Source organism: Homo sapiens, chromosome 3, assembly GCF_000001405.40.
Source record: "Homo sapiens chromosome 3, GRCh38.p14 Primary Assembly".
Lineage (NCBI taxonomy): Eukaryota > Metazoa > Chordata > Mammalia > Primates > Hominidae > Homo > Homo sapiens.
This window is the reverse complement of record NC_000003.12, coordinates 195050333-195067882: the sequence shown is the minus strand read 5'-3', so window position 1 is coordinate 195067882 and position 17550 is coordinate 195050333. Positions and strand designations below refer to the sequence as shown.

The window sequence follows — 17550 nt, the reverse complement described above, 5'->3', positions numbered from 1 at the left end:
TTCTTGAATGCCTGCTGTGCACCAGCCATTGTATTGGGGGATTTATTACGCTATTGATAATGTTTATGAAAACTTCATGAAGGTCATTATGTCTAAAGTCGACTGTAAGAAAATGTGAGAGATGTGGACAGAGTCATATACTATATGTTTATCACATTTTTTATAGTAGAAGAAAATTGGAAGCAACTTAAAATGTGAAAAAGAGGGGCCAGGCGCGGTGGCTCACACATGTAATCCCAGCACTTTCAGAGGCTGAGGCCGGCAGATCTCTTGAGCCCAGGAGTTCAAGACCAGCCTGGGCAACATGGCAAGGCCCAGTGTCTACAACTATACAAAAATTAGCTGGGCATGGTGGTGCACGCCCAGCTATTCAGGAGGCTGAGCTGGGAGGATCACTCAAACCCAGGAGGCAGAGGCTGCAGTGAGCTGAGATCACGACACTACACTCCAGCCTGGGGGACCGGGCAAGACTCTGTCTGTCTTTAAAAAAAAAAAAAAAAAAAAAAAAAAAAGAATGGAATAGGTAGATGAATAATATGCTTCATCCATATAACAGAATACTTGAGGCATTATTCGAAGAATATGTAATGCCTCAGGAAATACTTAGAATGTGCTATTAAATAAAGAATGCAAAATGTAAGATCATATGTTTAATACGATCCTATTTTTAAAATTACATATATGTGTATGTATATCAGTGTACACACGTGTGTATAGATACATACCTACACACACACGTATGTATAAAAAGAGCATCTATTCTGCTGTATTTCAACTTCTAAAAACATAGGTGTTTCAAACACCACATTAAAAAAACAATTATTTCAACGGGAAAAAAGTGAGTTAAAGGCTAAAGAATTTTAGACTCACAATAATAAAGGTATTTTCCCTGCAATCCTTTCTATAATTAAAATGTGTCTATAGCTATGTGTGTATTTTGTTGTTGCAAGAAAAAAACAATAAGCTGGTTGGTCAAAATGGGCAAAGGCCAAACAACATCCCTCATTTACTTTTAAGTAAACCTCTCAGGAGCTTCCCCTCTGTCACCAGTGGCCTCGACCTTCCAACCCCCCAGTGCACAGCAGACTGTCACTGCACAGGCACCCCAGCCCACCCACAGATCACACCCCAGCCCGCTGACAGATCACACCCCAGCCCGCTGACAGGTCCCACCGCAGCCCACCAACAGATCCCACCCCGGCCCGCGGACAGATCACACCCCAGCCCGACAGATCACACTGCAGCCCACCAACAGATCACACCCTGGCCCATAGACAGATCACACCCCAGCCTGCTGACAGATCACCACATAGGCACCCCAGCCCGCCGACGGATCACCACACAGGCAGCCAGCCCACCGACAGATCACTCCACAGCCTGCCGACAGATCACACCCCGGCCCACCGACAGATGACTTCACAGGCACCCCAGCCCGCCCACAGATCACCGCACAGGCACCCCAGCCCGCCCACAGATCACACCCCAGCCCCCCGACAGATCACCGCACAGGCACCCCAGCCTGCCCACAGATCACACCCCAGCCCGCCGACAGATCACACCCCAGCCTGCGGACAGATCACTGCACAGGCACCCCAGCCCGCCCACAGATCACACCCCGGCCCGCCGACAGATCACTGCACAGGCACCCCAGCCCGCCCACAGATCACACCCCAGCCCACTGACAGATCACACCCCAGCCCGTCAACAGATCACACCCAGCCCACCAACAGATCACTGCACAGGCACCCCAGCCCGCTGACAGATCACACCCCAGACCGCTGACAGGTCACACCACAGACCGCCAACAGATCACACCCCGGCCCACCAACAGATCACTGCACAGGCACCCCAAACTGCCCACAGATCACACCTCAGCCCACCGACAGATCACTGCACAGGCACCCCAGCCCGCCGACAGATCACACCCGAGCCCGACAGATCACACCCCAGCCTGCCGACAGATCACTGCAGAGTCACCCCAGCCCGCCCACAGATCACACCTCAGCCCCCCGACAGATCACTGCACAGGCACCCCAGCCCGCTGACAGATCACACCCCAGACCGCCGACAGATCACACCCCAGACCGCCGACAGATCACACCCCAGACCGCCGACAGCTCACACCCCAGCCCGCAAACAGATCACCGCACAGGCACCCCAGCCCGCTGAGAGATCACACCCCAGGCCGCTGACAGATCACAGAGCGCCGACAGATCACACCCCGGCCCGCCAACAGATCACACCCCGGCCCGCCAACAGATCACACCCTGGCCCGCCGACAGATCACCGCACAGGCACCCCAGCCCGCCCACAGGTCACCGCACAGGCACCCCAGCCCGCCCACAGATCACCGCACAGGCACCCCAGCCCGCCCACAGGTCACACCCCAACCCGCTGACAGATCACTGCACAGGCACCCGAGCCTGCTGACAGTTCAAACCCCATCCCCCCGACAGATCACTCCCCAGCCCGACAGATCACCGCACAGGCACCCCAGCCCGCCGACAGATCACACCCCAGCCCGCCCACAGATCACCGCACAGGCACCCCAGCCCGCCCACAGATCACACCCCAGCCCGCTGACAGAGCAGCCGGGGCTTGCTGTGCCTCGCCATTGCCGTGCTTGACAAGTCGTGGAGTGCCAGCTCCTGACCTGGGTCCTGTTACAGTTGCTGTCATGCAAGCATAGTTCCTTGTGCTGTGCTTAACTTGCTTCATGGAAACCCACTCTCGAGAATACGCCTGTACATATGAGGAAAACAGAAATCTGAAAAGATAACATGTCTGGGTGCTAGGATTAAGGTGCTTTTTGTTTTCATCTATATTTCTGTATTTTCCACATCGAGTATTAATTACCTTTATTATAAGATAATAAATGCTGTACATTTTTAACCACATCCCTTCTCCCCAGTTCCAGGTGAGTGTCAGCCTGGCCGTCTTACAGCTCCCGGCTGTCCATGGCCGATGTCACCCCTAAGAACACATAATCTAGGCTGAGTCGGCTCTGGGTCTTCAACTTCCCTGTGGATGCCCCAGTTCTCCAAATAAAAGCGATCTAATAATAGCAGCTCCAGACCCTGCTTTCATTTCTCATATACTGTCATCTTTTGTGTATACACAAAGTCCACCCTACAAATGATGATGGCCTTTGGAAAGCACGCAGGCTTGCTGAAGAGATTTGCTCTTCTGTGTGTGTCAAACCAAACAGACTGCGGCCTCTCCTTCAACAGCATTTCATCAAGTCAAAGTATGATGTGTTGGTTCACAGGCCCAACCTAGAGCACACCAGGAGTTTGTAGGTTAAGGTAGTAAGTGCAGCTGTGTCTTGGCACCTGCTTTGACTAGAGGCCAAACCTCTGCTAATTTTAACACTTCCTGGCTGATCTTAATATGGGAGGCCCACGGGCTGGGCTAAATCTGGAGGTTGGCAGGGAGCAGAAATTTCCAAGCAAGCAGGTGGTATAGTGGAGACAGCCTCACACCCGAGACGGAGGCCTGGCTTTGAGTCCACATCCTGCCCTCACTACCTGGCCATCTTGGACAGGCAAGGCCACCTCTTTCCCCAGTTCTAGACACTGGTAAGAGCTCCTCAAAGGAGTGTGGAAGGAGGAAAAGATGTGTAAGGACTTGGTAAGCTGTGAAATAATACAGATGTAAGGGAATTCTAACCATTATTACTTAGAATATTCTTTTTAAATTATAAATTACAGCCGTTTTGGAGCTCATGAAATGTGTTGGTAGCATCTCCGTAACCCCATGGATGAACAGATGCATGCTTGTAAGCTGTCCAATTTTTGTTGGCTGTGCCACTCCACAAAAACCAGTAGGTCAGGGGCTACCTCAGCTCACAGTGAACCTGTCAGTCAGGTGTCCACAGATAACTTGCTGGGCGTGTCCAGGAGGTGGAGGCAGTGCTGCCTCAGCTCAAAGCTAACCTGTCACGAGTCCTTGGATAAACCTTTTTCCTCTCTGGGCCTGTTTCTTCATCTGCAAAAACAAGGAGCTGAGGGATTGAACCAGATCTCTGGGCAGTATCCCTGCCCCCAGCTGTCTGGGGAAACACATGTTTCAAATGCAGCCACTGGGGTTCACATGTGGGTAAAGAAGAGTCCAGATCAAATGCGAAACTGCCAGACCTCAACTCGTCATTCACCCACTTAGGATTCATGACATGAACATGCAGAGTAAAACTGTCTCAAAGTATGCGGTTACACACTTCCCTTCTCCCGCATTCTCCACAGGCACAGTGAGGGGTGCAGACCAACTCTGGAGGCGCACTTACAATCCAAAGAGAATCAGCTGTCCCCCAGGAGCCCTCACCTCTCTGCTTATGATCCATTGACAGCTATACCTGCTAACATCTTGTCCCGTTCAGCTATGTGACCACCTTCCAAAGGGTCCCCCCCAGCAGAAAGTCCCATGCCCCACTGGTCTCACCTTGGGAAGTGCCGAGTCTTCACCAGGGAGAGAAGGTAGAGCTACCCTGCGGGGCGTGTTGAGCGGACCAGCCAGCCACTCCCCAAGGAGCTTGCAAAGAACAAAACACCTTCTAGAGTGAAGGGAAGGCCGGTTTAATTGAGGCTGGCTCAGCTCAGAGCATCTCCACTGGCACCCCCATTCTGAGGGGGAAGAGGTGTCCCACCACGCAGACACACTCAGCAGCCTTGCTGAAGGCCACTCATCTGCGGAGCCTCAGAGCGGGAGGGCCTCTTCACATCTCCAAAGCCGGCTGCCCTCCTGTCTCCAGCCTCCCTTCCTGAACCGTAGGGCTTGGCTCCAGCCTGCACCTCAGCCCCCTGCCCCCTGCTGCTCAGGCCTGTGCAGGAGCGCGGGAGCATGGAGCCCGCGGACCTTCCCAGCTGCCTTATGGAGCAAGACAACGTTCCCCCTCACTTCAGGACCCACGCTCGCCACTGTTTTCTGTAGGGGCCTCTCGCTCCATTTTTCATTCCCTTTTATTCCCACAGTCCTCTCCCATCCCCCGAGCAGCCAACCATTCTGATGGGCTCACTGTGCACTGACGGATACCTATGGAGCCTGGGACCACACGCTCACCCCAGTAACCCTGCGTGAGCATCCCTGCCCTTGTTCCTTACAGACCCGATGAGAATTTGTGTTGCATATCCAGGAACAAAACCGCCAGATCATAAGCTATGCAGATACTTCATTTTTGACTAAGTGGTGCAAGCTACTCCCCCGAGACCTGGCCCCCACCCCTATGGTCACCGGCACGAGCCCCCACTTTCTCTCCACCACAGTGCTCGTGTTCACGTGTCTCTGTGCATTGACACGTTGTGATCCAAGATATACTGGAGTCCTCCAGCGCGTGTGGCCCGCGTCAGAGCTGCCTCCGCATGAGTGGCATATGCCGCTGTGGAAGGAGGCTGGACGGGGAGGCAGGGGCCCTGGCTTCTGGCCTGTCCTCACTGCCTGACTGTGGCCAGCGGGTGCACCACTGTGAGTGGGGGAGAATGTAACCAGCTCCTGATCTGCCCGCCCTCCCAGGACTGCTGTGAGTAGCAGGTGAGATAACTCATAGCAAAGAACTTTCAAGACCCTAGACATACCTCACTCCCTCACACCCCAGCCCAACCCAGTGCCGCATGGAGACGCCAGGGCAGACACAGGCCATGGCTGAGCTTCCTCGGAGCTCTGTGGTGTGCTGAAGTCCTGCCAGGGGAGTGCCATGGCCATCCGACCCCACACTCGAGCCGTCTCATGGATGGAGCCTGGCGTTCGTCCATTAAGCCTCGGCCGATCCCACAGAGAGCCCCAGAGCCAGGGTGGCCTTGCACAGAAGCCGTGGGGTGAAGCCCAGGAGTGCGACCTTCAACCCCCACTTATCCCGTCACTGGGCACCTCCACCTTCTCTCAGGAAAAGCCCCTCTCCCTTACCTCAGGCAAAACCAGGAAGCTCTTCCGCCTACCCAGCCCGGTCCTGGCACTTCCCAAGGCCCAGAATGGCTTGACGCAGGCACAAGCCCGAGGGCTGAGAGTGCCCGCTGGGTGTTTGTGAATTTCCGTGCTCGCAAGGCACGGTGTCAGGGAAGCAGGTAATCCTCTTCTTTCCAGCAATAGAGAGTGACACGACTGGCTGTAATCTTCCAAGGCCAGGTGAGCACACGCACGGAAAACTCAAAGTGCCTGGTTATGGTCATGGGCAGGCGGCTTCAGGGTAAGCTTAGATCCATCTCATCCTGTCCATCCTTTTAGGAAATTTCATCTTCTCTCCAAACCAAGAAGCCACGGCAGTCTCTTTCCTTCCAGCCTCTTTCCCCAGCTCAGCCTCCTTTCCCAGGGACCCCAGGATCCTCCTGCCGCACAGGCCTTGAAACTCCCCAGCTGGGGCTCCCCCCGTCTCCCTGGCACCCAGACCCCTTGTACTACAATCCCACACCACTGCTGCCTCTCCCTACTGGGTTTCTGCTGTTCCTAGGACACAGATCGAGAGATGGAGATTCACGAGCAGGAGGCTTCCTGGAAACTGCTCTGTGGGAGGGGAGGGAACAGGATTAGGCAGGGAGATGTTGAGCTCCGAGACAGTCATGACAAAGGCCTCAGCCAGTCCCACAGAGAGCCCCAGAGCCAGGGTGGCCTTGCACATAAGCCCTGGGTTGATGCCCAGAAGTGGGGCCTTCAACCCTCACCTGTCCTGGCACTGGGCATGGGCGGCCCCGGGTGAGGGCATAGCCTTGGGCAAGGCAGCTCTCTTCAGCCAGGGTCACTCCTGGGGACTCTGCTCCCTGCCATCAGCGCCCAACACTTGCGGGAGAACAAGGCCTCCATCCTGAAGCAGGGGCTGGTGGCACAGCAGCGTCCCTCCCGGAGCGCTGCCCCTGCAGGCCCGGCGGCCCACAGCACCCCCTCCTGCAGCTCCCACCTTGGCTGCCCTCTAGTCTACTCTTGGTTCTTTCTCCTCAAAGGCTTTCAGCTCTGGGCATGTCCTGCCTCCGCTCTCTCCTCTTGCAGGTTCCCTGGCATCCTTCCCTGGGCGAGAGCACAGGCCAGGCTGCCTGTGCAGGTCAGCCACCTCTCCATGGTGACACTGCCCAGACTGTCCCAGCCCAGCGTGCCCCAGTGGTGCTAGCTGGTCCCAATGGCAACACCAGGGAGGGCCATCTGCTTTTAGCAGGGAACAAGACCTTATTCTTCTGTCCTTTCCCTCCACGTGTGGATCCCGACAGGGCCCAGTGGCCCACAGGGGATCTGTGAGCAGCCCTGGGCACACCGACAGGCTGTAGGGCTGTGGCTCGGCAGGAGGAGGCAGGACCTCAGCCACCTTCGAGACAGGTGAGGAGCTCTCCAAAGGTGAAGAGCCCTGCAGACCCAGAGGCAGCATCTGCCCGTGCCAGGGGTGATGCCAAAGTGGTGAGCCTCCATCGGGGTGAGGCCACTGCTTATCATGGGCAGGGTCAGTCAGAAGAACTCCATGAAAAGAATATAGGCTTTCAGGAGGGGGCACAAGTTGACATCTGTGACACTTTGTTCATTTGTACCCAGGCTGGAGAGCAGTGACATGATCTCAGCTGACCAAGCCCCTGCATGGGCTAGATTCTGGGGTCACAGAGGTGAAGAGGGCGGGTCAGTCCTCATTCTGACAGAACTTCCCACGCAGTGAGTCTGTCTCACTGCTGCAGGTCGGTGCCCAGAGAGGGGTCCCCATGGATCCACACTGAGGGTGAGGGATGCCTCCTGGATTCCTGCTGCGTGCCCCAGGTGAGAAAGCACGGCTGTGTGGCCTTTAGTTAGGAGCATACTTGGCCTCTCTGAGCCTCTCTGTGGCACATGCTAGGGTCCCAACTCTACACAGGGAGCTACCAGGGAACTACCAGGGAGGCTATGACCTGAGCCCTAGAGAGGAAATACGTGCTGTGTTCCATCCAGGCTCTGGGTGGACTCTGCCCCTAGGATTATTATCCTTGCCCTGCCACAGACTTGCTGTGTGACCCAGACAAGTTAGTCCCATCTCTAGCCCTCACTTGCCTCCTTTGTAGCAGAAAGGGGTTGTGCCAGAATCTATACTTCAAGGCCTAGGTGGAGACAAAGTTTTAAAAGCAAAGCGAGCATCCTCACGTTCTAGGGAGTCGTCCCGCATGGAAAAGGGGAGGGGTCCCGGCACGGCGCGTGCAAAAGGGGAGGGGTCCCGGCACAGTTTGGGTGAGACAGGACAGGGCCTTCTCAGGCTGGGGCTCCTGGCGGTCATCACAGGCTTTTAGACCTGCCAGGGGACTGAAGCCTTTGGTTGGAATCTCTTGGTACCAAAAGACAAGAAAGTGGGAATTATACCAAGTGCAGCGAGCGCCTCCGGACTCAGGTCTGCGTGAACAAGCCGTCGTGGGAAGAGCTAACTTTGAGTCTGTCTTCTCAGCCCGTGACCCGTGGGGATGAAGGAACGAATGGGCCAGGCTCTGCGCTTGTGCCCAGACCCTCCTGTGGCTCTGCTGGGGCACCTGCCCTGCTCCTCACCGCTTTCTTCCTTCCACCTCTGCTCCTCTGTGAGAACTGAGCTCAAGGGAGAGGAAGCCTCCCTGCCCCCTCAGCTGGAGCTGGGTGTCCCTCCTGTCACCTGTGACACCCTGAGCCTCCCTCTGCAAGTTGGTGGAGAATATTTCTTGTCCAGGGCTTGTAAGAAAGAGCGTTATCCTGAGCAACGAGCTGCATGTCCTGAGGTGGGTGAAGGAGGCGGGGGCGGAGGGCGGACGCTGGGGCCTCTGTCTAGGAGCAGCCTGTGTTTTCTGGCATGGCCTGCGGAAGGAAGCAGAAGTCCAGGGCCCTTTTGACAGGAGGCCGCGCGGCCGGATGATGGGGAGAGGAGAGAGGTGCTTAGGGCCTGTTTCACAGAAAGAGAGTTTGAGAGATGGTGACGCTTGTGGCCGGGGTTATGAATAGGATCCTCACTCTTTTTCAAGGCACACAGATACAGACGGACCTTCTTAATTTCACTTTGCCGGGCTCCATGTTGTTGGATGCCACAAGAGGCTGATGCGGGTCCCCGGGGCCTGGCGTGTCAGCGGGTTGCACCTCTAGCTGGACAGGCACCACCGTGCTCCCACCGCCTCTTGCATCCCACTGTGCCTCTGGTTTCCGCACCCCTGGGAGGCAGGAGCTCTGGCATCTTCGTGCTCCCTGCACCTGACTCCACTGACTCCACTGCCAGGCACAGGGTGGGCCCTCATTAACTCTCTGCTACTTGCCTGGGGATAACTGAAAACCATCCCCTTCCTCAGTACAGGAGAGAAATGGAAGCGGCGGATTCAGGAAACAGGAGGGCAGAGTGAGTGGAGACAGGCCCAGGGCTGCCCAGCCCCCAGAATCCCAGAGGGGGCCACAGGAGGGAGGGATGGGAGAGTGCCAGGCACTTGGGAGGACTTGGCGTCAGGGCAGACTGAGGGGTGGAGGCTCAGAAATGAACACTCCTGGCAGGAAAGGCCCCTCTGTGCCCCCACTGAATTAATATCCTGTGCTCACATCTGTCCTCTTCTCTAGCTTAATAGATTCCTGGGACATGACGGTCTCTGCGGCAATTGTTTCACCATAAAATTCCCTTTATCTGGCCGGGTGCGGTGGCTCATGCCTGTAATCCCAGCACTTTGGGAGGCCGAGGCAGGTGGATCACAAGGTCAGGAGTTCAAGACCAGCCTGGCCAATATAGCGAAACCCTGTCTCTACTAAAAATACAAAAACAATTAGCCAGGCGTGGTGGTGGGCACCTATAGTCCCAGCTACTTGGGAGGCTGAGACGGGAGAATCTCTTGAACCCAGGAGGCAGAGGTTGCAGTGAGCCAAGATTGCACCGCTGCACTCCAGCCTGGATGACAGAGTGAGACTCCATCTCAAAAAAAAAAAAAAAATTCCCTTTATCTGATTGGGAACACCCTAAAATGTTCTATTACCCCTGCTCCGCAGAGCCCAGCTGGATGGTCCTGAAGTGCAGGCAGACATGGCAGGAGATGCTTAGAGAAGGAGTGAGCACCGTGTCCCTGGGGGTGTGCAAGCAGAGGCCATGCGAGCTCGCAAGAAAAGGAACAGACGAGAGCTTGGGGGGCCTGACCTGTGTGTCCTGAGCGCCCTAGGATTCTAGACTTCCAAGCTCATTTCCCTCCTGGTCTCCTCAACTAACTCCTTTGAGAAACAGTGACTCTGCTCCTGAGCACATTCAGGTCCCAGCTTCAGAGGCTCTTCCTACTTCTAGGAAGGGGAGTACCCTCTGAACAACCGCAGGACCGGGTCCTTAGGAAAATGACCACACTCATCACTCTCCCTTTTCCCCTTTCCCCATGGCAATCTCAATTTCCTACAAAAAGCACCACAGAAAGCCACCCTGAGGATCCCAAAGGCAAACAGAGACACAGGAGAGTGGGAGGTGCCTTGGGGAAGGGGCACCCACTGCACCTGTCCTGAAGCCGACGCGAAAACATGGCTCGGTGGAAACGCTGGAGCCCAGGAAGAGCCCTCTTGGTTTGATTTGTGCTCTGGACAGTTTCCAGATCGAATCACACACTCATGGTTGGGCTAAAACCCTGAGAAGGGAGGGGGATTAATAAAAGGAGCCCTAGGAAGCAAAACACAATATCATTTCTTAAAATTGCAGCCGACATTTTTAAAAAGGAAGATTGACAACCTTACCTAAATACAGAAGGAACTGTCCTGACCCAGCTAAGATAACATTGACCTGTGCCAGAAGGTGCTGTGATTTTTCTAAACAAACAAACAAAACAAAACAAAACACACACACACACACACAGATGCTGGGTGCAGTGGCTCACACCTGTAATCCTAGTACTTTGGGATGCCAAGGTGGGCAAATAACTTGAGCCCAGGATTTCAAGACCATCCTGGGCAAGATGGCAATACCCATCTCTACAAAAAGTAAAAAAAAAAAAAAAATTAGCTGGGTGTGGTGGCGTGCACCTGTAATCCCAACTACTCAAGAGGTTGAGGTGGGAGGATCCCTTGAGTCCAGGACTTTGAGGCTGTAGTGAGCTGTGGTGGTACCACTGCACTCCAGCCTGGGCAACAGAGCAAGACTCTGTCTCTGAAATAATGATTTTAAAAAGATGTCATCAATAAGCACTGCAGCCCTCTTGACTCTAGCTGAGTCAGTATAATCCGTGGAGTCCTGGGTCATGGTGTGACTCCACGTGGGTTCAGGTTGCAGAGCCTGGGCCACCTCGCTGCTCAGCCAGGGCCAGTGCAGGAGCTCCCCAGCCTCAGATACGGAGTCCTTGCCTGCCGAAGAGCTGCTACTCTCCTGCTTCCTGCTGTGCAAATGGCAGTGGGACTTTCACTCTGAAATAAGGTTATTAATTTCAAGTGCCCTTTCCCTGCAGCCCTCCTTTCACTCCCAGGTTCCCTTGGGGTAAGTGGGGGCTGGGGGGAGTGGTAAAGATGGAAGCAGCTCTCCTGCCCTTCATGAGTCCACAGGACCTCACGGTTCACAAATATGCACTTACGAAGGGTCTTCACTTTCATTTCACAAGGTTCATTTCACCTTACAACAGTGTGCCCACCCACCCCAGATGGAAAGGAAAGAGACTATTATCCCCATTGTGCAGGTAGGGGAAACTGAGGCTCACAGAGGTAAAGTTACCTACACTTGCCTAGCTTGCAAGTGGTAAAGCTTGCACTAGAGCAGATGACTTCTGGCTTCCAACTAGTCTATCATTCAAGAAGTATTTATTGGGTTCCTACTGTGTCTCCAATACTGTTCTAGGTGCTGGAGATACAGCAGGGATCAAGGTGCACATGGTTCCTGACCTCAGGGGGCTTATCTTCTGGTGGGAAGAGAGATGGATAACAAATAAGTAAACAAGCTTAAAAGTGAGGAGGAGGGGGCCAGGTCGGTGGCTCATGCCTGTAATCCCAGCACTTTGGGAGGCCTAGGCGGGCGGATCACCTGAGGTCAGGAGTTCAAGACCAGCCTGGCCAACATGGCGAAACTCTGTCTCTGCTAAAAATACAAAAATTAGCTGTGCGTGGTGGTGGGCACCTGTAATCTCAGCTATTCGAGAGGCTGAGGCAAGAGAATCACTTGAACCCAGGAGGTGGAGGTTGCAGTGAGCCAAGATCACGCCGTTGTACTCCAGCCTGGGTGACAGAGCAAGGCTCCGTCTCAAAAAAAAGTGAAGGAAGCAGCTATGTGACGTCTTGGGGAGAGGATTCCAGGCAGAGGGAACAGCGAGAACAAAGGCACAAGGAAGGAACAAGTTGGAGCAGTTGGAGGGATGGCCAGAAGACCGTGGTAGCCCAGGCATAGAGAGGAGAGCAGGCACAGGAAGTGAGGTCAGAGAGAGGCAGTGGGTCATGGAGGGCCTCATTGCCACAGAGAGAGCGAGCGGTGGGTCACGGAGGGCCTCATTGCCACAGGAAGGAATTGGGTCTTATCCAAATGTGATGGGAAGCCAGGAAGCCACTGGAGCGTTTGAAGCAGGGAAGTGACATTTGTGGTCATTGTATAGAGTAGGCTGGAGGGGACAAGAGTGTCAGGAGAAAGCCCAGGTAGGGGGTGATAAAATTGTGTAGGCAAAAGGTGAAGGAGGCTTGGGTTGGTGACTGATTGAAGTGGACAGAATGAAGAAGCAGGAAGTGTGTGAAGGGGGAGCATCCAGGCCTTGCTGAGGGCTAGGGCTGTAGGCGGACTGGGGACGAGCAAAAGAGGGGAGTCCAGGCTTCCGCCAGTGGCTTTGGCTTGAGGAATTTGGGGAATGCTTTTATTGAGATAGAGAAGATGTTGACAGAGCAATTTGGGGTGAGGGGAAGAAATCAAGTGTCCTGTTGGTGACAAACTTGAGGTGTCTATTCAACAACCAAGTATAGACCTCAAACAGGCTGTTGGCATTCAGGGGAGGGTCCAGGAGAGGGGTTGGTTGTGGGCTATACATCTGGGTGTCAGTTGTATGGTTTCAAGATGATTAAGTGAGGGACACATTGCTTCCATTCTCTTGAAAATCACCCCCAAAATAAAAGAGAAAAAAATCCCTAAAATAAAACTCCAGTCTGAGGAAATGGGAAGATGTTTATGCCTCCAAATCACAGTAGGTGAAGATAGGAGGTAGACAGAAGAATGAGAAATGACTTGGCAAAGAGGAGAAAGCCCCCATGTAGGTGCCTGCAAGGCACAGCGTGCCCACAGAAAGGAAGCTGAGACACCTTACAGAAGCCAGGAAGGAAGGGGAGTGGGAGGCACAAGCTGGGAAGGGTGGGAATGAGGCCTGGGAAATGGGGGCTGGAAACGGGAGGGGGCGGGAGGCACTGAAAATCTAAGAGGCAGTCCCCATGAGGTCCCCACCGATGAGCACCCTCTCCCCAGTCCTGCAGGAGACTGGAACTTTATTCTCTGTTTAAAATGCACTAGGAGGCCCCGAGAATGGGGGCGGGGGGGCAGTGGTGAAGCCCTGACTAAAAACAACAAGCTGAGCGAGGTTCTGCACATTGACTGGAGACCTGCCCCAGCCCCTTCCCTGTCCAGCTCTTGGACCCAGCAGCTGGGCTTCTGTCCTGGAGCAGGCAATTGGAGGAGACACCTTCTATTCTCTGGAGAAACTGAACTGCCCAGAAAATACCTGTAGCTATGACATTTCGGGGTCCTAAATGGAAATACCAACTGACCACCAGAGCACCCTGCAAGGAAGCCCACCAGTCTCCTAATCCCACCTGTACACCCAGAGTCTCCTGTTTGCATTTGGACACAAGGGCTCAGATAAAGTCCATCAGACATTTGAGGAAAGCCCTCTGACACAAAAGATAGAGATCAAAGCACACAATCAGAGAAAAGGCACTCAGAGAAAAAGAAAATGTCAAAATAAATTATAATATCCTCAAAGGATGAGGAGGTACCGCATCTGTGAAACACAAAGAAGGGCTACAAAAAAAGAAACACCCAGGACTAATCAAATATTCTTGGCAATTAAAAATGATAGATAAAATAAAAAAATTCGGCCGGGCGCGGTGGCTCACACCTGTAATCCCAGCACTCTGGGAGGCCCAGCTGGGCAGATCATGATATCAGGAGATGGAGACCATCCTGGGTAACACGGTGAAACCCCGTTTCTACTAAAAATACAAAAAATTAGCCAGGCTTGGTGGTGGGCACCTGTAGTCCCAGCTACTCAGGAGGCTGAGGCAGGAGAATGGCGTGAACCCAGGAGGCAGAGCTTGCAGTGAGCCGAGATCGTGCCACTGCACTCCAGCCTGGGTGAAAGTGCGAGATTCTATCTCAAAAAAAAAAAAAAAAAAATTGAATAACATGGTTGAACAACGAATTAGAGGAATTCTGTAAGAAAGGAGAGGGGAAAAGACAAAAGTGAAAAATAGGGGAAAAATATATTTTCAGAAATTAGAAGTTTCAACATCTGCCCAGTGTAAGTTCTAAGTAATTTGGAGGATAGTACCAAAGAAATCATGTAAGAAAAGTTGCTAGAACTGGAAGACAGAAATGCACAGTACAAAGAAGGTAAAAAGGCTGACCTCAATGCAATCAATGTGAAATTTAAGAATATCAGACAAAAAGAAAATCCTAGAAACTCCAGTCAAGTGTGAGATAAGAATGAAGACACAGCACACAAACTCTTAGAACATTTGCCTCCTTTCTCGGAAAGCTTCAGGAGGAAAGCGTCACCATTGCAAGGAAGTAAACCAAGAAAAAAGAATGCACAAGATCCAGGAAGCAGGGGGCTAATGGAGCCAGGAATTGAAGGGGATGCTCGGCTGTGCAGCAGGCTGGGAGAGCGGCAGTGCAGATGGGAGTGGGAGGTGGGAGCGGGAGGTGGGAGGGGTTTGGAGGGAAGTGGAACTGACAAAGTAGTGACATACTTGACCATGCGAATAACTGACAGGCCTTAGAGGGTGCAGGGAGAGCTAGCCAGAGAGTAAAACAGCAATAACCACAACAACAAAAAGTAAGCAAATAAAAATTATTGACTCCAGAAAAAAAGGTTTAAAGAAAGAATATGCATTTGCTGGGCCCATCAATGAAAATATTAACTTAATCCTATCAGTGAAATACTACTACAGATTTTTTTTTAAAACTTGAAGTGCAAAGAGGGAAATAGATGATGTAAAATATCTCAAATCATTATTTACTATAATAAGAAGTTAACAGATAATATATTAAATCGAGGCTGGGCATGGTAGCTCACACCTGTAATCCCAGCACCTTGGGAGGCTGAGGCAGGTGGATCAGTTAAGGCCAGGAGTTCGAGACCTGCCTGGCCAACATGGCAAAACCCAGTCTCTACTAAAAATACAAAAATTGTCCGGGCATGGTGGTACGTGCCTGTAATCCCAGGTACTCGGGAGGCTGAGGCAGAGAATCGATTGAACCTGGGAGGCAGAGGCTGCAGTGAGCCGAGACTGTGCCACTGCACTCCAGCCTGGGCGACAGAGCGAGACTCCATCTCAAAAAAAAAAAAAAATTACACACACACACACACATTTATATAAAATTGATTGTAAAAAGGCTAGCAAGATATGCATGCTGTTTAGAAATATGGAGATAAATAGGTAAATCCTGGAAGGAAACAAATGAAAAGAGATTGTTTCTGAAGAGGTGTGGGGAAGATAGATAAGATACTCCTGCTTTTTAAAAATAAGCTTTTTAGCACTGTTTGGGTTTTTAAAAAATTATTTCTATGTGACGCTTAGACAAAAAATAAGAAAGCACTGATACATGATATTTAGAGCCTCTGGACTAATTGAAATCCTTAAGAAGAGAGTGTAAATAGTGAGAAGAGGGCCCAGGACCAAACTCCGAACACTCCAACATTCACACACTGAGCTGAAAAGGAGGAGGAATTAGCAAAGGAGATTGAAGTAACAGGGGAACAACAAAGTGAAGGGGCCAGAAGAACCGAGAGAAGAAAGTTGCTCAAGAAGAAAGTGGTGCTTAACTGAATACTGTTGACCCTGGAAAGCAAAATAGGACTGAAATTATTCAGGATACATGAATGCAATGGAATTAAATATGTCGTGAACTGAAGATAATCTACATGATTACCTCCACAGATGTAGAAAAGGCTTTCAGAAAAGTCAACATCCCTTCATGTCAAAAACTCACAATAAACTAGGTATTGAAGGAATGTACCTCAAAATAATAAGAGCCATCTATGTGACAAACCCACAGCCAACACCATACTGAACAGGGAAAAGCTGGAAGCATTTCCCTCGAAAACCTGCAGAAGACAAGGATGCCCTCTCCCACCACTCCTATTCAACATATTGAAAGTCCTGACCAGGGCAATCAGGCAGGAGAAAGAAATAAAGGGCATCCAAATAGGAAGAGGGGAAGTCAAACCAACCCTGTTTGCAGATGACATGATTCTACATCTAGAAAACCTTATACTCGCAGCCCAAAAGCTCATTCCACTGGTAAACAACGTCAGCAAAGTTTCAGGATAAAAAATGAATGTACGAAAATTACGAGCATTCCTATACACCAACAACAGCCAAGCTGAGAGCCAAGTCAGAAAGGCAATCCCATTCACAATTGCCACAAAAAGAATAAAATACCTAGGAATATAGCCAACCAGAGAGGTGAAAGATCTCTACAATGAGAATTACAAAACACTGCTCAAAGAAATCAATTACAAAACACTGCTCAAAGAAATCAGAGATGACACAAACAAATGGAAACACATTTTATGTTCATGACTAAGAAGAACCAATGTCATTAAAATGGCCATACTGCCCAAAGCAATTTATAGATTCAATGCTATTCTTATCAAACTACCAACAACATTCTTCACAGAACTAGAAAAAAGTATTTTAAAATTCATATGGAACCAAAAAAAGAGCCCGAATAGCCAAGGCAATCCTAAGCAAAAAGAACAAAGCTGGAGACATCACATTACCCAACTTCAAACTATACTACACGGCTATACTACAAACTATACTTCACCAAAACAGCATACTACTGGCACGAAAACAGACACAGACCAATGGAATAGAACAGAGAGCCCAGAAATATGGCCACACATTTACAACCATCTGATCTTCAGCAAAGCTGACAAAAACAAGCAATGGGAAAAGAACTCCCTATTCAATAAATGGTACTGGGATAACTGGCTAGCCATATGCAGAAGACTGAAAATAGACCCCTCCCTTACATCACATACAAAAATCAGCTCAAGATGGACTAACGACTTAAATATAAAACCCAAAACTATAAAAACCCTAGAAGACAACCGAGGCAATACCATCCTGGACATAGGAACAGGCAAAGATTTCATGGCGAAGATGCCAAAAGCAATCGCAACAAAACAAAAATTGACAAAAGGGATCTAGTTAAATTTAAGAGCTTCTGCACAGCAAAAGAAACTATCAACAGAGTAAACAGTTTACAGAATGAAAGAAAATGTTTGCAAACTATGCATCTGACAAAGGTCTAATATCCAGCATCTATAAGGAACTTAAACGAATTTATAAGAAAAACACAAACAAAAAAGTGGCAAAGGACATGAACAGACACTTTTCAAAAGAAGACATACACGGGGCCAAACAGCACTTGAAAAAAAGCTCAACATCACTGATCATTAGAGAAATGCAAATCGTACC

At 51.2% G+C, this 17550-nt stretch overlaps 2 annotated features.

Moving 5' to 3' along the window:
• Window positions 5854-6627: an enhancer, noted in NCBI's record as "H3K4me1 hESC enhancer chr3:194781985-194782758 (GRCh37/hg19 assembly coordinates)". NCBI's record gives its function as "activates a minimal SCP1, AML or CMV promoter by ChIP-STARR-seq in naive H9 embryonic stem cells {active_cell/tissue: H9 hESC(naive)}" and the evidence as "EXISTENCE:reporter gene assay evidence [ECO:0000049][PMID:30033119]".
• Window positions 8609-8903: a silencer, noted in NCBI's record as "tiled region #6289; HepG2 Repressive non-DNase unmatched - State 3:PromF, and K562 Repressive non-DNase unmatched - State 20:ReprD". NCBI's record gives its function as "represses a minimal TATA promoter and a strong SV40 promoter by Sharpr-MPRA in HepG2 and K562 cells {active_cell/tissue: HepG2 | K562}" and the evidence as "EXISTENCE:reporter gene assay evidence [ECO:0000049][PMID:27701403]".